The sequence below is a fragment of the Homo sapiens genome, chromosome 13, assembly GCF_000001405.40.
Source record: "Homo sapiens chromosome 13, GRCh38.p14 Primary Assembly".
Lineage (NCBI taxonomy): Eukaryota > Metazoa > Chordata > Mammalia > Primates > Hominidae > Homo > Homo sapiens.
Window position 1 is genome coordinate 29,638,468 of NC_000013.11, and position 23,941 is coordinate 29,662,408.

Below are 23,941 nucleotides of genomic sequence, written 5' to 3' on the forward strand. Positions count from 1 at the left end.
TTAGTATCAAACAGACTTTAAGGCAAAAAACATTACTGTGAGTATAGAGAGAAATTCCTTATGATAAATGAGCTAGTTCACCAAAGAGCTATAATAATTATATATCTGAACATATGTAATAACACAGCTTCAAAATATGTAAGGGAAAAATTGACAGATCCTAAGAGGAGAAGTTCACAACTATAGTAGGATACTTTGCGCACCTCTTCTAGTCAATGGTAGAACAAGCAAACAAAAATTCAGTTGGGATACAGAAAATCTGAACACAATAATGAGTCAAGCTGATCTAATTGTCAAATATACAACACTCATGCTCAATAATAGCAGACTATCTGTTATTTTCAAATGCACATGAAATATTTATAAAAAATTGCTATAAGTGAAATCAGAAATCAAATATTGACACGTGTCAAAGAACTTAAGTCATACAAAAAATTTTCTTCTATTAAATGCAATTAAACTAGAAACAACAAACATAACTAGAAAATCGCTACATGTTTGGCCATTAAGACATAAACTTCTAAATAACCCACCAGTCAATGAAAATATCACAATGAATATTTTAAAATATTTTAAATTGAAAAATGTCAAAAATGTTACATTTCAAAACTTGTAGGATATAGCTAAAATGTTGTTAGAGGGAAATCTATAAGTTTATATGCATATGTTTGAAAAGAAGAAAGGTGGACATTCAATTATTTTTACTTATTGATTTATTTTTGAGACAGAGTCTCACTCTGTTGCCAGGCTGGAGAGCAGTGGTATGATCTCGGCTCACTGTAACCTCTGCCTCCCGAATTCAAGTGATTTTCCTGCCTCAGCCTCCCAAGTAGCTGAGACTACAGGTGTGCACCACCACGCCCAGCTAATTTTTGTATTTTTAGTAGAGACGAGGTTTCACCATGTTGGCCAGGATGGTCTCGATCGCTTGACCTTGTGATCTGCCCGCCTCGGCCTCCCAAAGTGCTGGGATTACAGGCATGAGCCACCGTGCCCAGCTCAATTATTTAAATAACTGTCATGAGAAAAAAAAAAGAACATTAAAGTAAACTCCAAAATTATGTAAGGAAGAAATAATAAATGTAGCCACAAGACTTAATATAATAGAAAATAAAATAGAGAGGAATGACAAAATAAAAGATAGATTATTTGAGAAGACTAATAAGTTGATGAACCCATGGCAACATTAAGAAAAAAAGAGAAAAGATGTAAAGAATCAATGAAAAATAGAAAAGTAGAAATACCACAGACCTCATAAACATGAAAACACCATGAGAAGATAGCATGAACAACTTTATTTACTTATTTTAACTTTTATTTTAGGTTCAGGGGTACATGCGCAGGTTTGTTATATTGGCAAACTTGTGCCATGGGGGTTTGTTGTACAAATTATTTCATCACCTAGGTACCAAGCCAAATACTCAACAGTTATTTTTTTTCTGACTGATGCTCTCCCTCCTCCTACCCTCCACCCTCAAGTAGGCCCCAGGGTCTGTTGTTTCGTTCTTTGTGTTCGTGTGTCCTCATCATTTAGTCCCACTTACAAGTGAGAGAATGTGGTATTTGATTTTCTGGCTGCGTTAGTTTTCTAAGGATGATGGCCTCCAGCTCCATTTGTGATGAACAACTTTAAAACAATATTTTGAAAATTTAGAGGAAATGTTTAAATTTGTTAGATAAAAGTATAACTTACCAATATTGGGACAAAAATAGAAAATCTGAAAGCCACATAAGGATTAAAGAATATGATCTATAAAACCCAATAGCTTTGCCAATATATTCTTCTGGACATTTAGGAACGCAATAATGCTAATTTATAACAAACTCTTACAGAGAAAAACCAAAGTAGGAATACTCTACAACAATTAGGTCAAACCTTCTGAAAAGGCTGTTGGTGTCAATCAAAAATGATTGAATATCAGCGATTGCATATGGGTCAATCTAATAGTTTTATGATCCATCACAAAATTGATACAAAATCCCAATGAGGATATTTTAAGAAAGGATAATACAGCATGACCAAGTTCGGTTTTGTTGAGGCCAAGAGAGAACTCTGAAAATCAACTGACAGAGGCAGATGAAGAGGAGAAAAGGCATATGAATATATTAATGTGCAGGGAGGGGGAGCCATCCCAGAATGATTAACCCACCACACAATAGGCCAAAGGGGTACAGATGCTTACATACCCTTCTTCTTAGGGGAAAGGAAGATAGGAAAGTGTGGATGATTTTAGGGGGATAGTAAATGATTTTTAGGGGAATTCAATGAGACTGAAAAACGTAATGGCCTGGGACAAAGTTAGCTGGGCTTGCAGAGCACATAGTGGTTTGTGACAAGTCTGTTCAGGCGTGTTGACAGACTTCAGTGTTTCTTCCTGCAATATAAGTTCAGTTTATAAAACTCAGGGAAGGGAGCAGAGGTCATTGTTTTCTTCTTCGGTGAGCCCAGACTTTAGGCAGATAAGGGAAGTTCAGAGAACAACTCCATCCTGTGCTTTGGGAGAGACAGAGGATTGAGAGACAAGATGGGGGAAGCCCAGAGAGGCCTTGAGGCTTCTCGTTCAGTTCAGCATTTCAAGGCATCATATTTTGGGGTATCAGTTTCTGAGCCCCAACAGTTTGTTCTAGAAAGTTAACTTAAAGGGGGTAAAATCTATGTAACTTACAAAATTAGCAACACAAAGAAGAAAAATGACACAATCAACTCAATGGACTTGGAAAGGGTATTTGATAAAAAAAACACTTATTCATGATACAGGAAGGAAGTGGGGGAAAAACTCTTGGCAAAGTAGAAATAGAAAGAAACTGATAAGTTGTATCCACCAAAAACCTACAGCCAATATCATACTTATTGGGCAAGTGTTGAAAGCTTTTGTTCTGGTATCAGGGATCAGACCAGGATGCTCATCATTAACTATTTCTATTAAACATTTTACTGGATATTCTAGTCAGTACATAATGTGAAGAAAAAGAAACAAATTATAGAAAGAAAGAGAATTATCATTATTCAGAAATAATATAAAAAAATTATATCCCTAAAAAATCTAAAATAATCTGTATTTAGAACTAATGTTCTAATAGTTCCACTAGAATGATTAGATTTTATCTAATATATAGTATGTGTTAGATTATATATCATTTATTAGATTTTATCTAATGTATATAAAATATATCTAAATAGATACAGGATCTTAAGGTTGAAGGTTTGGATATTGATTTGAGAACTACTTTTTTTTTTTTTTTTTTTTTTTTATTATACTCTAAGTTTTAGGGTACATGTGCACATTGTGCAGGTTAGTTACATATGTATACATGTGCCATGCTGGTGCGCTGCACCCACTAATGTGTCATCTAGCATTAGGTATATCTCCCAATGCTATCCCTCCCCCCTCCCCCGACCCCACCACAGTCCCCAGAGTGTGATATTCCCCTTCCTGTGTCCATGTGATCTCATTGTTCAATTCCCACCTATGAGTGAGAATATGCGGTGTTTGGTTTTTTGTTCTTGCGATAGTTTACTGAGAATGATGGTTTCCAATTTCATCCATGTCCCTACAAAGGATATGAACTCATCATTTTTTATGGCTGCATAGTATTCCATGGTGTATATGTGCCACATTTTCTTAATCCAGTCTATCATTGTTGGACATTTGGGTTGGTTCCAAGTCTTTGCTATTGTGAATAGTGCCGCAATAAACATACGTGTGCATGTGTCTTTATAGCAGCATGATTTATACTCATTTGGGTATATACCCAGTAATGGGATGGCTGGGTCAAATGGTATTTCTAGTTCTAGATCCCTGAGGAATCGCCACACTGACTTCCACAATGGTTGAACTAGTTTACAGTCCCACCAACAGTGTAAAAGTGTTCCTATTTCTCCGCATCCTCTCCAGCACCTGTTGTTTCCTGACTTTTTAATGATTGCCATTCTAACTGGTGTGAGATGATATCTCATAGTGGTTTTGATTTGCATTTCTCTGATGGCCAGTGATGATGAGCATTTCTTCATGTGTTTTTTGGCTGCATAAATGTCTTCTTTTGAGAAGTGTCTGTTCATGTCCTTCACCCACTTTTTGATGGGGTTGTTTGTTTTTTTCTTGTAAATTTGTTTGAGTTCATTGTAGATTCTGGATATTAGCCCTTTGTCAGATGAGTAGGTTGCAAAAATTTTCTCCCATGTTGTAGGTTGCCTGTTCACTCTGATGGTAGTTTCTTTTGCTGTGCAGAAGCTCTTTAGTTTAATTAGATCCCATTTGTCAATTTTGTCTTTTGTTGCCATTGCTTTTGGTGTTTTGGACATGAAGTCCTTGCCCACGCCTATGTCCTGAATGGTAATGCCTAGGTTTTCTTCTAGGGTTTTTATGGTTTTAGGTTTAACGTTTAAATCTTTAATCCATCTTGAATTGATTTTTGTATAAGGTGTAAGGAAGGGATCCAGTTTCAGCTTTCTACATATGGCTAGCCAGTTTTCCCAGCACCATTTATTAAATAGGGAATCCTTTCCCCATTGCTTGTTTTTCTCAGGTTTGTCAAAGATCAGATAGTTGTAGATATGCGGCATTATTTCTGAGGGCTCTGTTCTGTTCCATTGATCTATATCTCTGTTTTGGTACCAGTACCATGCTGTTTTGGTTACTGTAGCCTTGTAGTATAGTTTGAAGTCAGGTAGTGTGATGCCTCCAGCTTTGTTCTTTTGGCTTAGGATTGACTTGGCGATGCGGGCTCTTTTTTGGTTCCATATGAACTTTAAAGTAGTTTTTTCCAATTCTGTGAAGAAAGTCATTGGTAGCTTGATGGGGATGGCATTGAATCTGTAAATTACCTTGGGCAGTATGGCCATTTTCACGATATTGATTCTTCCTACCCATGAGCATGGAATGTTCTTCCATTTGTTTGTCTCCTCTTTTATTTCCTTGAGCAGTGGTTTGTAGTTCTCCTTGAAGAGGTCCTTCACATCCCTTGTAAGCTGGATTCCTAGGTATTTTATTCTCTTTGAAGCAATTGTGAATGGGAGTTCACCCATGATCTGGCTCTCTGTTTGTCTGTTGTTGGTGTATAAGAATGCTTGTGATTTTTGTACATTGATTTTGTATCCTGAGACTTTGCTGAAGTTGCTTATCAGCTTAAGGAGATTTTGGGCTGAGACGATGGGGTTTTCTAGATAAACAATCATGTCGTCTGCAAACAGGGACAATTTGACTTCCTCTTTTCCTAATTGAATACCCTTTATTTCCTTCTCCTGCCTGATTGCCCTGGCCAGAACTTCCAACACTATGTTGAATAGGAGTGGTGAGAGAGGGCATCCCTGTCTTGTGCCGGTTTTCAAAGGGAATGCTTCCAGTTTTTGCCCATTCAGTATGATATTGGCTGTGGGTTTGTCATAGATAGCTCTTATTATTTTGAAATACGTCCCATCAATACCTAATTTATTGAGAGTTTTTAGCATGAAGGGTTGTTGAATTTTGTCAAAGGCTTTTTCTGCATCTATTGAGATAATCATGTGGTTTTTGTCTTTGGCTCTGTTTATATGCTGGATTACATTTATTGATTTGCGTATATTGAACCAGCCTTGCATCCCAGGGATGAAGCCCACTTGATCATGGTGGATAAGCTTTTTGATGTGCTGCTGGATTCGGTTTGCCAGTATTTTATTGAGGATTTTTGCATCAATGTTCATCAAGGATATTGGTCTAAAATTCTCTTTTTTGGTTGTGTCTCTGCCCGGCTTTGGTATCAGAATGATGCTGGCCTCATAAAATGAGTTAGGGAGGATTCCCTCTTTTTCTATTGATTGGAATAGTTTCAGAAGGAATGGTACCAGTTCCTCCATGTACCTCTGGTAGAATTCGGCTGTGAATCCATCTGGTCCTGGACTCTTTTTGGTTGGTAAACTATTGATTATTGCCACAATTTCAGAGCCTGTTATTGGTCTATTCAGAGATTCAACTTCTTCCTGGTTTAGTCTTGGGAGAGTGTATGTGTCGAGGAATGTATCCATTTCTTCTAGATTTTCTAGTTTATTTGCGTAGAGGTGTTTGTAGTATTCTCTGATGGTAGTTTGTATTTCTGTGGGATCGGTGGTGATATCCCCTTTATCATTTTTTATTGTGTCTATTTGATTCTTCTCTCTCTTTTTCTTTATTAGTCTTGCTAGCGGTCTATCAATTTTGTTGATCCTTTCAAAAAACCAGCTCCTGGATTCATTGATTTTTTGAAGGGTTTTTTGTGTCTCTATTTCCTTCAGTTCTGCTCTGATTTTAGTTATTTCTTGCCTTCTGCTAGCTTTTGAATGTGTTTGCTCTTGCTTTTCTAGTTCTTTTAATTGTGATGTTAGGGTGTCAATTTTGGATCTTTCCTGCTTTCTCTTGTAGGCATTTAGTGCTATAAATTTCCCTCTACACACTGCTTTGAATGCGTCCCAGAGATTCTGGTATGTGGTGTCTTTGTTCTCGTTGGTTTCAAAGAACATCTTTATTTCTGCCTTCATTTCGTTATGTACCCAGTAGTCATTCAGGAGCAGGTTGTTCAGTTTCCATGTAGTTGAGCGGCTTTGAGTGAGATTCTTAATCCTGAGTTCTAGTTTGATTGCACTGTGGTCTGAGAGATAGTTTGTTATAATTTCTGTTCTTTTACATTTGCTGAGGAGAGCTTTACTTCCAACTATGTGGTCAATTTTGGAATAGGTGTGGTGTGGTGCTGAAAAAAATGTATATTCTGTTGATTTGGGGTGGAGAGTTCTGTAGATGTCTATTAGGTCTGCTTGGTGCAGAGCTGAGTTCAATTCCTGGGTATCCTTGTTGACTTTCTGTCTCGTTGATCTGTCTAATGTTGACAGTGGGGTGTTAAAGTCTCCCATTATTAATGTGTGGGAGTCTAAGTCTCTTTGTAGGTCACTGAGGACTTGCTTTATGAATCTGGGTGCTCCTGTATTGGGTGCATAAATATTTAGGATAGTTAGCTCCTCTTGTTGAATTGATCCCTTTACCATTATGTAATGGCCTTCTTTGTCTCTTTTGATCTTTGTTGGTTTAAAGTCTGTTTTGTCAGAGACTAGGATTGCAACCCCTGCCTTTTTTTGTTTTCCATTGGCTTGGTAGATCTTCCTCCATCCTTTTATTTTGAGCCTATGTGTGTCTCTGCACGTGAGATGGGTTTCCTGAATACAGCACACTGATGGGTCTTGACTCTTTATCCAACTTGCCAGTCTGTGTCTTTTAATTGCAGAATTTAGTCCATTTATATTTAAAGTTAATATTGTTATGTGTGAATTTGATCCTGTCATTATGATGTTAGCTGGTGATTTTGCTCATTAGTTGATGCAGTTTCTTCCTAGTCTCGATGGTCTTTACATTTTGGCATGATTTTGCAGCGGCTGGTACCGGTTGTTCCTTTCCATGTTTAGCGCTTCCTTCAGGAGCTCTTTTAGGGCAGGCCTGGTGGTGACAAAATCTCTCAACATTTGCTTGTCTATAAAGTATTTTATTTCTCCTTCACTTATGAAGCTTAATTTGGCTGGATATGAAATTCTGGGTTGAAAATTCTTTTCTTTAAGAATGTTGAATATTGGCCCCCACTCTCTTCTGGCTTGTAGGGTTTCTGCCGAGAGATCCGCTGTTAGTCTGATGGGCTTTCCTTTGAGGGTAACCCGACCTTTCTCTCTGGCTGCCCTTAACATTTTTTCCTTCATTTCAACTTTGGTGAATCTGACAATTATGTGTCTTGGAGTTGCTCTTCTCGAGGAGTATCTTTGTGGCGTTCTCTGTATTTCCTGAATCTGAACGTTGGCCTGCCTTGCTAGATTGGGGAAGTTCTCCTGGATAATATCCTGCAGAGTGTTTTCCAACTTGGTTCCATTCTCCACATCACTTTCAGGTACACCAATCAGACGTAGATTTGGTCTTTTCACATAGTCCCATATTTCTTGGAGGCTTTGCTCATTTCTTTTTATTCTTTTTTCTCTAAACTTCCCTTCTCGCTTCATTTCATTCATTTCATCTTCCATTGCTGATACCCTTTCTTCCAGTTGATCGCATCGGCTCCTGAGGCTTCTGCATTCTTCACGTAGTTCTCGAGCCTTGGTTTTCAGCTCCATCAGCTCCTTTAAGCACTTCTCTGTATTGGTTATTCTAGTTATACATTCTTCTAAATTTTTTTCAAAGTTTTCAACTTCTTTGCCTTTGGTTTGAATGTCCTCCCGTAGCTCAGAGTAATTTGATCGTCTGAAGCCTTCTTCTCTCAGCTCGTCAAAATCATTCTCCATCCAGCTTTGTTCTGTTGCTGGTGAGGAACTGCGTTCCTTTGGAGGAGGAGAGGCGCTCTGCGTTTTAGAGTTTCCAGTTTTTCTGTTCTGTTTTTTCCCCATCTTTGTGGTTTTATCTACTTTTGGTCTTTGATGATGGTGATGTACAGATGGGTTTTCGGTGTAGATGTCCTTTCTGGTTGTTAGTTTTCCTTCTAACAGACAGGACCCTCAGCTGCAGGTCTGTTGGAATACCCTGCCGTGTGAGGTGTCAGTGTGCCCCTGCTGGGGGGTGCCTCCCAGTTAGGCTGCTCGGGGGTCAGGAGTCAGGGACCCACTTGAGGAGGCAGTCTGCCCGTTCTCAGATCTCCAGCTGCGTCCTGGGAGAACCACTGCTCTCTTCAAAGCTGTCAGACAGGGACACTTAAGTCTGCAGAGGTTACTGCTGTCTTTTTGTTTGTCTGTGCCCTGCCCCCAGAGGTGGAGCCTACAGAGGCAGGCAGGCCTCCTTGAGCTGTGGTGGGCTCCACCCAGTTCGAGCTTCCCGGCTGCTTTGTTTACCTAAGCAAGCCTGGGCAATGGCGGGCGCCCCTCCCCCAGCCTCGTTGCCGCCTTGCAGTTTGATCTCAGACTGCTGTGCTAGCAATCAGCGAGATTCCGTGGGCGTAGGACCCTCCGAGCCAGGTGTGGGATATAGTCTCGTGGTGCGCCGTTTCTTAAGCCGGTCTGAAAAGCGCAATATTCGGGTGGGAGTGACCCGATTTTCCAGGTGCGTCCGTCACCCCTTTCTTTGACTCGGAAAGGGAACTCCCTGACCCCTTGCGCTTCCCAGGTGAGGCAATGCCTCGCCCTGCTTCGGCTCGCGCACGGTGCGCACACACACTGGCCTGCGCCCACTGTCTGGCACTCCCTAGTGAGATGAACCCGGTACCTCAGATGGAAATGCAGAAATCACCGTCTTCTGCGTCGCTCACGCTGGGAGCTGTAGACCGGAGCTCGAGAACTACTTTTTAATGTAGGTTTTTACAGCTACAAATTTCTTTCTGACCACCACTTTTGTTGCATTCCGTAAGTTTTGGTATGCTGTGTTTCATTTTCATGGCACACAATGTTTAATATATATATAAAATATATCTAGATATATATATGTCTATTAGATTATCTCTAGTTTCATTGCATTTATATACACTATCCATGAAAAATCATGTAATAACATCTTGTATCTTTGAACTAATTTATTAGTTCTAATAGTGTGTGTGTGTGTGTGTGTGTCTTAGCACTTTCTATGTATAAGATCATATCGTCTGCAAATAAAGATATTACTTTGTCTTTTTCCACTGGATATCTTTTATTTCTTTTTCTTGACTACTTTGGGTAGAACCTACAATACCATTTTGAATAGAAGGGGTGAAAGCAGACGTCTATGTCTTATTCCTGATCTTAGGGGAAAGGCTTTTAGTCCTTCGACATTACGTATGATGTTGACTGTAGATTTTGCTCCTTTATTAGGTTGAGGACGAAGTTCCCTTCTATTCCTGGTTGGTTGTTTTATGATGAAAGGCTGTTGGAAGTTTTTCAAATGCTTTTTCTTAGTCTATGAGATGATCACATAATTTTTGTTCTTTATGAATTTTCACAAGTATTTCACTTTAGAAATAAGTCCTACTTGGTCAGTGTGTATAATTATTTTTATTTCTTGCAGATTTAGTTTGTTACTATTTTGTTGAGGATTTTTGCATTTATATTAATAAAATATATTGGATATAGGTTTATTTTCCTGTGATGTCATTGCCTGGTTTGCTATCAAGGTAATGCTGGCTTCATAGAATTAAGTTGGGAAGTGTTTCCTCCTCTTACATTTTGGAAGAGGTCATGAAGGATGGATGTTAATTTTTCTGTAAATGTTTCGTAGAATTTACTCACAGAGTCTTCAGTTCTGGGCTTTTCTTTTTTGGAGGTTTTTGGTTACTGATTTAATCTCTTTACTTATTATAGGTCTATTCAGATTCTCTATTTCTTCTTGAGTCAGTTTTGGTAGTGCATTTCTAGGAATTTGTCCATTAGTAGGCTATCAAATTTGTTGACACACAATTGCTTACAGTAACCTCTTTTTATCCTTTTTATTTCCGTGGTGTTAGTGGTAATGACCCCGCTTTCATGTCTGATTTTAGGAATTTGAATCTTCTTTCTTCTTCCTCATTCTAGATACAAGTTAGTAAATTTTGTTGATCTTGTCAAAGAACTAACTTTTGGTTTTGTTAATTTGGGTTTCACTTTCTCTTCTTTTTCTAGTTTCTTAAGGTAGAAGGTTGGGATATTGATTTGAGATCTACTTTTTAATGTAGGTTTTTACAGCTATAAATTTCTCTCTGAGCACTGCTTTTGTTGCATCCCATACATTTTGGTATGTTGTGTTTCATTTTCATTTATCTTAAGGTATTTTCTAATTTTTATTGTGATTTATTCTAAAACCCATTGGTTATTTTGGAGTATGTTGTTTAATTTTGACATATTTGTAAATTTCCCAAATTTCCTTTTGTTACTGACTTATAGTTTGGCACCACTGTAGTCAGAGAGCATTGTTTGAATTAAATTATGTTAAATTTATTGAGTCTTGTTTTATGGCTTGACATAGTTTATCCAGGAGACTGTTCTACTGCCACTTGAGAAAATATATATTCTGTTGTGGTTGTGTGGAGTATTCCATTGATGTTTATTATGTCTAGCTCACTTATTTTATACACAGACACACACATTATATATATAATATATAAAATATTTGGCCAGGTGTGGTGGCTCATGCCTGTAATCCCAGCACTTTGGGAGGCTAAGGTGGGCAAATCACTTGAGGTAAGGAGTTCAAGACCAGCCTAGCCAACATGGTGAAACCTATCTCTGCTAAAAATACAAAAATTAGCAGGGCATGATGGCATGTACCTGTAATCCCAGCTACTCAGGAGGCCGAGGCAGGAGAATCGCTTGAGCCCAGGAGGCAGAGGTTACAGTGAGCCGAGATGACATCATTGCACTCCAGCCTGGGCAAGAAAAGTGAGACTCCATCTCAAAAAAAAAATTATATATATATAATTTAAAAATATGTATATAATATATATATTTTTATATAATATATTATATATATTATATAAAATATAATATATATATAATATAATATATATTTTATATAGTATATATAACATATTATATCTATTATATATATTATATAATATATTTTATATAGATATATATAATATATTATATAATATATATAATATAGTATATATTATATATAATATAGTATATATTATATATAATATAGTATATATTATATATAATTATTATACATATTATATATTATATATTATATAATTTATATAACTATATTATGTAATATATATTATAGTTATATATTATATAATATAAAATAGTTTTATAAATATATTTATATATATAATTGCCATAGCCCTTGTTACTTCCTAAGAGACTAAAGCAAATTAAGGTATTTGGCCTCTTGTCCTTGGTTCCTTAAGCAGCTTTGGAGTGCCTCAGAGTAATAAAGGTGAAAGAGTCTTTTGTTATAATGTTGGGGTGCTTTATGCCTCAGAGGAAGACCTTGGAAAGCAGAATCTCTCTCTGACCTTCTGCCTTCCTTTCGCCTGTCCTTTATTCTCTCCAAGGGAGTAATCTTTCCCCACCTTTCCATCTTGTAGCTGACCATGAAGAAGTTATCTGCTCTACCTTGGTTGATTGTGGGTCATAAGACCCTTATTTCAGAAAGGGTTCTGCCCTATGATGCACAGAGAGGCCAAGAAGAATCTGAACACATAGACCTGCCTGGGTTTGCCCACTTAGTCTGTTAGTATTAGATCATAACTTTTTGTTCAATCACATTTCTACCTGGTTGTCTGTGCTTCAATTGTGCCTTTCTAATGAAGTCTCCATAAAAGAGGCAGGAGGACAGAGTACGAGGAGCTTCCAGACAGCTGAACATATGGAGGTTCCTGGAGAGTGGCATACCGGGGGAGGGCATGGAAACTCCACACCCTTTTCTATACCTCACCCTATGCATCTCTTCATCTTTATCCTTTATAATATCCTTTATAACCAATTGGTAAATGAAAGTGTTTCCCTGAGTTCTGTAAACCACTTTAGCAAACTAATGAAACCCAAGGAGGAAATTGTGATAACCCTGATTTATAGCTAGTTGGTCAGAAGCACAGATCAAAAACAACCTGGGGTTTATGATTGGCATCAGAAGTGGGGGGCTGTCTTGTAAAACTGAGGCCTCAAATTGTGGGATCTGATGCTATCTCCAGGTAGATAGTGTCAGTATTGAACTGAAGGACACCCAGCTGGTGTCTGCTGCAGAACTGATTGCTTTCTTGCTGTGTGGGGGAAAAAACTTCATACATTGTATTATGAGAACAGAAGAAATGCAGTTTGTGCTTTTACTTCACAGTAATATTGTTCAAGTCTTCTGTTTCCTTGTTGATGTTCAGTCTAGTTGCTTTATCTGTTATTGAAAAGTGGGTTATTTTTATCTCCAACTGTGATTGTTGAATTGCCTGTTTCTCTATTCAATTCCATCAATCAGTTTTTACTTCACGCATTTTTGGGCTTTGTTGTTAGGTGCTATCTTTGTGCTGCTGTAACAAAGTACCACACACTGGATAATCTATAAATAATAGAAATTTATTTCTTACAGTCCTGGAAGCTGGGAAATCTAAGATCAAGGTGCTGAAAGGCTGCATGTCTGGTGAGGGCTGCTTTCTGCTTCCATGATAGCGCCATATTGCTGCATCCTCTGGAGGGAATGAATGCTGTGTCCTCAACATTGCTCTCATTATCTTGGATCCCTTTTATAATGGTGCTAATCCCACTTGTGACGGTTGAGGTGACTTAATCACCTCCCAAAGGTTACAGCTGTTAATACTGTTGAATTGGAGGTTAAGTTTCAACATGAATTTTGAAGGGGACACCACCATTCAAACCTTAGCAGGTACACATATGTTTTAATTGGTATATCTTCTTGATGGATTGATCTCTCCTTTTTTAAAGGGACAAAGTCTTGGTTCTTGCTCTGTTGTCCAGGCTTGACTGTAGTGGCACAACCATGGCTCACTGCAGCCTTGACCTCTTGGGTTTAAGTGATCCTCCAACCTCATTCTTCTGAGTATAGGACTACAGGCAAACAACACCATGCCCAGCTAATTTTTAAATTTTTTTTCTAGAAATGGGGTCTTGCTATGTTATCTTGGCTGATCTCAGACTCCTGGGCTCAAGGAATCCTCCTGCCTTGGCCTCCCAAAGTGCTGGTGTTGGGATTACAGACATGAACCACCACACCCAGCTGGATTGACCCTTTTAACATTATAAAATGTCCTGTGTTGCCTCTAGTGCCAAATTTTGTTTTAAAGGTCTGTTTTGTCTCATATTGGTATACCCACTCCAACTCTCTTTTGATTATCATTAACCCAGCATATTTTCTTCCATCCTTTTTCTTTCAACCTATTGTGTCTTTAAATCTGAATTTTGCTTCTTTTCAATAGCATATACTTGGATCATATTTGGTTTCTTAAAAAATCTATTCTTCTAATTTTTATGTTTTGATTGGACTGTTTGGTCCATTTATATTTAACGTAATTACTAGTAAAAGAGTTTTTGACTGCCATTTTAAAATTTATTTTCTTTGAGTCTTACATCATTTTTGTTTTTCTGTTTCTCCATCGCTAACTTCTTTTGTGTTAAATAGATATTTTCTAGTATGCCACTTTATTTATTATTTTCCCCATGTGTTTTTATTTTCTTAGTAGTTGCCCTGAAGATTATAATAAAATCTTAATTTAAGACAATCTAATTTGGGTTAATATCAACCTCATTTCACTAGTCTAGAAAAATTTTCCTCCATTATACTACATTTCCTCCTTCCTTTTGTACTTTGGTTGTCATACAAATTACATCTTTGTAAATTATAGGCCTAACAAGATAGCTTTATAATTATTGCATTGTACATTTATCTTTAAATCAGGAGATAAAAAGCTCAAACCAAAACATGTTTATGCTGTCTTAGTATTATCCACATAGTGTCCTTCTCTGGTGTCCTTCATTTGTTAACTTAGACGTTAGTTACTGTCCCATCATTTCATCCTGAAGAACTCCTTTTAGTATTTCCTGTAGGTCAGATCTGCTAGTGATGAATTTTCTCATTTTTTGTTTAACTCCTTCATTTTTGAAGGACAAATTTGCTGCATATAAAATCATTAGTTAACAGTGTTTTTCTTTCAGCACTAAGGAAGTTTAAAAGAAAAAAAAAAGGCCTGGCATGGTGGCTCATGCTTGTAATCCCAGCACTTTGGGACCCCAAGGCAGGCAGATCACTTGAGGTCAGGAGTTCGAGACCAGCCTGTCCAACGTGGTGAAACCTGTCTCTACTAAAAATACAAAAATCAGCCAGGCTTGGGGGCGCACGCCTGTCTCAGCCTCCCAAAGTGCTGGAATTACAGATGTGAGCCACCGTGCCTTGCCTGATACTACACAATATTAATGTGGATGTGAAGACATAGTCACTCTCATTCACTGCTAACGAGAGTACAAATTGGTAGAGCTGTTTGGAAGGCAATCCGTCAGGATCTAACACAATTTCAAATGCACGCCATTCTAATGCAGCATTTTCACTTCTAGAAATGCAGGCTGCAGAATATTTTCACATACACAAAAGTACACGCACAAAAGTGTATATGCTGCTTATTGCAGTACTGCTTGTGAGAGTAAAAATCTATGGACCTGAATGTCCGTAGTAGAGAGAGAGGGGGAGAGAGAGAGAGTGTGTGTGTGTGATGTGTGTGTGTAAAGAGTGATGGAGAGAAAAAAGAGGAGACTGTAATAATTGAATATTCAAATTGCTTTGCAATTACTTGGGTAATGACCTTTTTTCTTTTACTTTTTTTTTTTTTTGTGACAGGACAGCTTGGCTTTGTGGGTAAATATACCACAAGAGGGCTTTTATGTTTTATAACATATACTTCTGTACTGTTTACACTTTCCAAGTCATTTAAGACAACAAAAAAAGCAGGCTGCAGTATTGTGTAATGTGGTCTCATTTGTGTAAAATAAGTCTACAACACAAACAGGTACATATCTGTTACATATTATAAACATCTAAGAAAAATACACACTGAACTGTGAACAGTGGCTGCCACCTGGAAGTGGTGGGAAAGGAGACTGAGGGATCTTAACTTACCTACTACAGTTCTGTTTGATGTTGCTACAAGCTTGGAGCTTTAGCAATTTATAAAATGAGTAAATGAATAGGCACTTGCCAATAAAGGGAACGAGAGAGAAAGGCAGTAGCTTTCAAACTCAGAGGGGAGAAAAGGAGGTGTTTTTAAGGCTGGGGTAGTGTGAGCAGACAGAAGAGGAATGGCTGCAAGGCGGTGGAGAATGCAGGGAATCAATGCTGCCACATCCTACAAGGGGGTGGGGGAGAATGCACTCAACTGCACAGTGGAGGAGAGATGTAAGGAACAGAGAGTGAGAAGAAATGACGATTTTGACACTGGCTATCTGTGAGAAAGCAGACAAGAGTTGGTTAGCAGCTACTAAGGGCAGAGGGTATTGATTAAATACTATAAGAAATTGAAGAAATTCTCATTTTTAGATGTGTACTCCTAATCTCTATTGGTGATGCTATTTCTGTAAAAACCAAAATTTTTTTTCAGTTAGCAATATGTTCTTTAAATCAGGGGTCCCCAGTCTCCAGGCCACGGACCCGTCCATGGCCTATTAGTAACCAGGCCGCACAGCAAGAAGTGAGTGGTGGGCGAGTGAGTGAAGTTTCACCTGTATTTATAGCCACTCCCCATTGCTCACATTACCACTTGAGCTCCACCTCCTGTTACATCAGCAGCATCATTAGATTCTCACAGGAGCGCAAACCCTATTGTGAGCTATGCATGAGAGCGATCTAGGTTTCATGCTCTTTATGAGAATCTAATGCCTGATGATCTGTCACTGTCTCCTGTCACCCCCAGAAGGGACTATTTAGTTTCAGGAAAACCAGCTCAGGGCTCCTACTGATTCTATATTATGGTGAGTTGTATAATTATTTCATTATATAATACAATGTAATAATAATAGAAATACAGTGCACAATAAATGTAATGCACTTGAGTCACCCTGAAACCATCCTCCCTACCCTGTCCATGGAAAAATTGTCTTCCATGAAACAGGCTCCTGGTGCCAAAAAGATTTGGGACCGCTGCTTTCAATTATGGCCACATGCCACTTGTACCTCAGCTACTGTGACTCATAATGACTGACCCTTCAAAGCAATGTAATCTCTGTATCATTTTCTTTTTCTGCAGTAGGGCTTGGGATTAGCCATTGCCATAGAATGGAGTGAATAACAGAGAAGAGAAACTGTGACTAATTTAAGAGTGATAATCATACAATTGCAATTTGGAGAAGATTGACCTGAAAGAACTGCAGAGGAAGCATGCTCTTTGTGTAAGAAATCCTTAAATTCCACACAAAATCTATATAGTCTTCCTGGACATGATGCATAAGGAAATCCTAAGACTGCATGCCGAGTTTAACCAATTAAACTGGAATAAACTGGAATGAATTTGCATTTGGGAAGTAAAACACTATCCAAGGGGCATAAGAACAGCTGGGCTCCTACTGAAGGAGACACATATGGTGTTCATTGTGGGGTTTTGCTTCTTATTCCCTTTGAGTAAGAATAAAATGATCTTATTTTTTGCTCTTCAAAAATCTTCTCTGGTTATTTTTCTGGTGTCATTGGCTGGCATATTCCGATCCATAGGAAGAAGAAGGGAGCAGAGATGAAGTCTTCCTCTCCTACTGCCTCTGGGCAGAGGTGAAGAACTTTTGAAGGCATGCACCATGGGGTTATGAGACCCACTCAGCTAGACATATGTTTTGGAAGATATGTGTGTTACAGCAGCTTCTTAGGTAACTAACTAGTAGCGAAAGCCTTGCACTTTGGGGACTATTTTGTTCTTATATGTATCTGTTCAACCACAAACAGGCATAACTTGATTCTCTAAAAAAGTGGACATTTGAGGTTCTAAACTAGGGAGAGCCAGTCGAGGTGGCAGGCGTCTGTAGTCCTAGCTAATTGGGAGACCAAGGTGAGAGGATCACTTGAGTCTAGGAGTTCAAGACCACTCTAGGTGACAAAATGAAACCACTGTCTCAAAAATAAATAAGAAAAATTTAAAAATAAAATTTCAATGAGAAGAACTCAGTGAGTCTCTATTAAGCAAATCTGGATATCAGTGCATATCAAAGCACTAAATATTTGAGGTGTATCTTGCAGGAACCTAATACATAAAATTAGTAATCTTGTGTATTATCTGTTTTCACACTGCTGTAAAGAACTACCTGAGGCTGGGTAATTTATGAAGAAAGGAGGTTTAATTGACTCACAGTTCTGTGGACTTAATAAGAAGCATGACTGGGAGGCCTCAGGAAACTTACAATCATGGCGAAAAGTGAAAGAGGAAGCAAGCGCCTTCTTCACATGGTGGCAGGAGAGAGAGAGAGTGAAGGGGGAAGTGATACACACTTTTAAACCATCAGATCTCATGAGAGCTCAATCACTATCACAATAATAGCAAGGGAGAAATCTGCCCCCATGATCCAATCACCTCCCACCAGGCCCCTCCTCCAATTCGACATGAGATTTGGTCAGTGACACAAATCCATATCATATCACCTTGATAATGAAGACATCATATTGCCTAAAATTTTAGAGTCATAGTGGATTATCCTTCCTTTTTTTTTTGATACGGGATCTCACTCTGTAACCCAGCACAGTGACACAGTCTTGGCTGACTGCAACCTCTGCCTCCCAGGCCCAAGATGGGACTTGAGCCTACCTCAGCCTCCCAAGTAGCCGACACAGGCAACCACACTGGGATAATTTTTTGTAATTTTTGGTAAAGATGGGGTTTTATCATGTTGCCCAGGCTGGTCTCAAATTCCTGGATTCAAGCGATCTGCATGCCTTGGCCTCCCAAAATGCTGGGATTACAGGCATGAACCACCACACCTTGCCTATCTTTCCTTTTAAAAGGTAGATTTTCAGGTAGAAATTTGCTTCTATGAAAGGCGTGAATCTGAAAACTGTTCTACCAATAGATGGTAACAATTTACTTTGAGATTTTGACATGTCCTCTGACTCTCTAGGCTTCAGTAATCTATCTTTCTTTCTTTCTTTCTTTCTTTCTTTCTTTCTTTCTTTCTTTCTTTCTTTCTTTCTTTCCTTTCTCTTTTAGATGGAGTCTTGCTCTTGTCACCCAGGCTGGAGTGCAATGGTGTGATCTTGGCTCACTTCAACCCCTGCCTCCTGGGTTCAAGGGATTCTCCTGCCTCAGACTCCCACGTAGCTGGGATTACAGGCACCTGCCACCATGACCAGCTAATTTTTGTATTTTTTTTAGTAGAGACGGGGTTTCACCATGTTGGCCAGGCTAGTCTTGAACTTCTGATACCAGGTGATCCACCTGCCTCGGCCTCCCAAAATGCTAGGATTACAGGTGTGAGCCACCACGCCTGGCTGCCTCAGTAGTTTCTAATGTCCATTCCAGCTTAAAAAATTTTATTTCAATAGCTTTTGGGATACAAGTGATTTTGGGTTACATGGATGAATTATATAGTGGTGAATTCTGAGATTTTACTGTCCTTCCTTGATGAACTTGATCTTGTATGTGAGCCGAGCATAGCAAATTAAGCAACACAATTTTATTCAACAGAATTGTGACAATGAAAAGTAATATTGGCAAAGGCTCAGTTCTGGAAGCATTCTCATGTATTGCTGGTAGATGTTTGAACTGTACAAGTGTTTTCGGAAAGCAGTCTGACAGTATTTATTACACTGATTAACTCATATGTCATGAAAAAGCAGCACACCAGCGGGTGCAGGCAGAAAGTGCCCCCTCCCATGGGCACTTCAAAGCTGTCTTATGGTTTCCTTTTTTGTCTCCACCTAAAATCCCAGGCAGTGTACATAACCTTTCCCATCACTATTAGGTTTTTAGAAATCATCACTTTTATTCACAAAACAGTCTCATGTTGACATTTGTAATGTCCAGTCCTGGTGTAAACATCAAAACTCTGGGTTCTACTTGCAGCTTCTCCCAGCCCAGGCTGGTGCTGGCCAGAGACAGAGAGTGGGCTTGCTTCTCCACTCCTGCAGCCTGGCCCAGGTTTCTGATGCCTCTGGATTAGGAAGTCAGGAAACGATTTGCTTGTTTGGGACAGTTATGAGCTGGGGTTGGACACACTTTGGATTCTGTGGGTCTTTAGAGTCAGCTTCACCCCACCCCCCAAAATACCTTTTCCTTGGGGTTTTACCACTAGGAGCCCCCAGTTGCTATTTCTGTGATGTGCCAAGTGCTGCCTACATGGCCACTTTTAATTTCTTTCTCTGCATATATGGGGTTTTCCAGAAACACTCCCTGTATTTGGATCCATCTCTCTCCAAGAACTTATTTTTTTTTAGTTTCCAACTTTTAGTTTAAGTTCTGGGGTACATGTGCAGGATGTGCAGGTTTGTTACATAGGTAAATGTGTGCCATGGAGGTTTACTGCACAGATCAACCCGTCACCTAAGTATCAAGCCCAGCATCCATTAGCTATTCTTCCTGATGCTCTCTCTCCCCCCACCCACCTTTCCAACAGGCCCCAGTGCGTGTTGTTCCCCATCCCCCACAATGTGGTCTCATCATTCAGCTCCCACTTATAAGTGAGAACATGCAGTATTTGGTTTTCTGTTCCTGTGTTAGTTTGCTGAGGATAACGGCTTCCAGCTCCATCCATGTCCCTGCAAAGGACATGCTCTCATTCCTCTTTTTGGCTGCATAGTAGTCCATAGTGTATATGTAGCACATTTTCTTTTTGCAGTCTGTCATTGATGGGCATTTGGGTTGATTCCATGTCTTTGCTATTGTGAATAGTGCTGCAATGAACATATGCATGCACGTATCTTTATAATAGAAAGATTTGTGTTCCTTTGGGTATATAAGTAGTAATGGGATTACTGCGTCTTATGGTATTTCTGCTTCTGGGTCTTTGAGGAATCGCCACACTGTCTTCCAAGATGGTTGAACTAATTTACACTCCCATCAACAGTGTAAAAGCGAGGAACCTCTTGAGTAAGATTCACAATTGCTCCAGGCCACCTCTGTCCTGCATAGACTACTTCTAGTCCACAGGAAGCACCCACAGTTTCCTGTCCCCTGCATCAGTGGAAGTGTGGTGCAGGCCAATACAGTTTTTCACTTTGCTGCCTTAGGGGACTGCAGTCAGCCCCTCACCTGGAGAATTATTTTGGGGGCAAGAGTTAGAAACCCTTTATTGTGATCTCAAACTTCAGGGGACACATCTGTAGTTCTCCCTATGGTCTCCTGAAGCTCTTCTCACCAGTTTGAGATGGGGGGAAAGGGCCCTCCTCCCTGCCTCCTTGGGCCATGAGAAGGAAACTGCCACAACCCTCCAAGAACTCTCTCCAAAAAAGCCTCCCTCAGCCCCAGCCTCTTCTACCCTCTGGCTCTTAAGTGGGTGTTGCCCTCTGGCTTTTGAAACCAGCTGTTAATCCATCCTTTGCAAGCTGCATATTCTGTTGCAGGACCCTGTGGAATGGGAAAAGCATCACCACTTCTTTACTCTGACTCCTGGAACCTCAGGTTAGAATTGAGCCTTGTTTTGCATCTTGTTAATTTAGATTCTCCTTACTCAGTCATCCCACTTTTTTCAGAATCTATTTTATAAAAATAAAAGTACTGGTATACAAAGATATTTACAGAGACAATATTTGTAGTAACAACAACAACAAAAAGGGCTGGGCGTGGTGGCTCACGTCTGTAATCCCAGCACTTTGGGAGGCCAAGGCAGGCAGATCACTGGAGGTCAGGAGTTCAAGACCAGCCTGACCAATATGGTGAAACCCCATCTCTACTAAAAATACAAAAGTTAGCCAAGTGTGGTGGTGAGTACCTGTAGTCTCAGCTACTCAGGAGGCTGAGACAGAAGAATTGCTTGAACCCAGGAGGCAGAGGTTGCATTCAGCCAAGATTGTGCCACTGCACTCCAGCATCGGCAACAGTGAGACGTCGTCTCGAAGAAAGAAAGAAGAAAGAAAGAAAGAAAGAAAGAAAGAAAGAAAGGAAGAAAGGAAGAAAGGAAGAAAGGAAGAAAGAAAGAAAGAAAGAAAGGAAGGAAGGAGGAAGGAAGGAAGGAAGGCAGGCAGGCAGGAAGGAAGGAAGAAAAAGAAAGAAAGAAAAGAAAAGAGAAAGCAAGCCTAACTCTCCATCTATAAAGGAATGGTGGATGTGCAATTAACCCATGGTGTGTTCATACAATGGACTATTAGGCAGCTATTACACACAATGAGTTACACTATCTGTATTACCTGGAAGGATATTAATTATATACTAGTTGCAGAGAATAAAAGAAATTGCAGAATAATGTTGTTTGAAATGCTTGTTCCCCAGTGCTGTAAAGAAACAGCACTTGAACATTAAATTTAATTTGCTCGGCAAGGCCATTTTTATACTTTCTGCAGAAAGGGTACACTCGCCAGCAGTTTTGCCATGAGAGTACACTGAACAAAGGAGACAGGGTCATTTATAACCTGATGTGTCCACTCTACTGCTGTGTCTGGTTTCCATTGGCTGGAACAGGACCTCACATTCTGTATTTGTCCCGATTGGCTAGCAACTTACAACTTTTTAAAAGAGGCAAAGGTAGAGGAGAACAAAGGAAGGAGGAAGTAACTTGTGGAATGCTGAGAAAGGTAAAAACACCTTCAAATAAGGAAGAGGAACAGGCTATGACCTAATGCTGGCTTGGACTAGTATAAGCATGACAGGACAAATATTTAAGCTAAATTGTGGGAGCTAAGAACTAAAGAACGTTGATTTCTTTATCATGGCTAGCAGATATTTAAGAATGTTAGCACAGGTCTTTGAATAAATTTTGCTTCTAAAAGAAGTTACTATTTATTCCTAATTAAATGGGGAGGAAAGTCTTTGAAGAGGAACCTCTACTTTACTTTTTACAATGTGTATAATGTGATCCATTAAAAAACACACACACTTTACTTATTTGTGTACATTTGAATGAGTGTGGAGCAGGGTGGGAAAGGATGCACCCAAGATATCAATATTGGTCATCTTAGTGGATAGTAACACAGCAAGAACAAGGAGAGCATCTTTACTTTGTATGTCTACTTTAAAGTTGTTGTGCATATTACTGCATGCATTTTGGGGGATTAAAGAATAATATAATAAAGAAAAAGTAAAGGAAGAAAATGAAATTTGATAAAACTGTAAGAAGAAATTGCTCAGAAAGTGTTGGGTTCTAAAAATTATTCAAGGAAGAGATAATTCCAACATTATAAAAACTATTACAGAGTAGAAAAAATGGAAATCTTCTAACATAATTTTTGGAGGCTAGATTTACCATGGTACTAAAACTAGAAAGGAAAACTAGAGGCCAATTTCAATCGCAATTGACCGTCCCTTCAAAAAAAATCCAAAATAAAACATTAACAAACTGACTCAAGTTATTAAAAAGATAAGACAAGGTAGTCAAATTAAATTATCCAGTAATTGAAGGTAGCTTCACATTAGAAAATCTATTAATATAATACTAACCTTAACAGATTAAAGGAGAAACTATAAATGCTGAAAAATAATTGTATAAAATTCAACAATTCCTTTTTTTTTTTAAAGAAAAATAAAGGCTCTTTAGTAAGTTGGGAATATACAGACCCTTCCTTCAACTGATGTACCATGCTGGCTGTATTCCCTGGGCCCGTAAGTTCCAGTTTTCATTCATCTGCAGAGACCCTGGCAAAGGTTTCTACTCTCCTGGTGGGTCCTCTGGTTTCCTCCTGAAACTAACAGGAACCTCACCAAGAAGCTGGAGGAAAGAGGAGAGTGGGTCAGGGTATTTGTTTCTGGATCTCCTCCCTGCAAGGTCACCTGAGTAGTTGCTGGAGCTCTCAAGGCAGTGGACTCCACAGACTCTTCCTTCTGCGTTCTGGCACGTGTTCCCTCCTCAACCCTCTCCCTTAGAGGTGTTGGAAGTGCAGCTGCTCCTGAGCCCTGGATTGCTTCTCTATCCCTTGTGGTACCCTTTACCTGAACCTTTGTCAATACAGCAAATTCTTGTTATTGGAGGTAGATGTGTACTACAAAATCATTACAAACACTGAATTAACAAATACCAAATCATCACTCCTAGAGGAAATACAAGGTTAGGTACCTGTGAGCCTCTGGTCAAATATTTTCATTAACCAATTGATACATAACCTTGCTTTCTATGTGTTTCTTACACATATTTAATCTATATCATTGACTCATTAACATTGAACTTACAGCCAACAGCACTATAACTCATGCCTGAATGAAGCTTCTCCAACACACCTATTTTCTCCTTAAGGCACATCATAGCCTTTGAGGACTAAACTCTGACTTTTTTTTTTTATCTTGCAGAAACTCCTATCTAAGGAGTCTGGGGAATCATGTCCTACAAACCACAAATTCTCATCAGATGGGTTTTATTTAACCTTGTATATCGTGATTTATTTTCCAATGTAACTCTGGAATAACAAGAAAGAAAATCAAAATGTTCTATTCCAAAACATGTTTCTCTGCCATATCTTAAACTTGC

General features: G+C 39.0%; 1 long non-coding RNA gene across 1 annotated transcript; it reads left to right on the forward strand.

Annotated features, from left to right (window-relative positions):
- Positions 1 to 9,225: 9,225 nt before the first annotated feature.
- On the forward strand, positions 9,226 to 17,011 carry LOC102723345 (uncharacterized). Its single transcript, NR_135320.1, has 2 exons — positions 9,226 to 9,257; positions 16,603 to 17,011. It is a non-coding gene; the product is annotated as an uncharacterized LOC102723345 (long non-coding RNA).
- Positions 17,012 to 23,941: the final 6,930 nt, after the last annotated feature.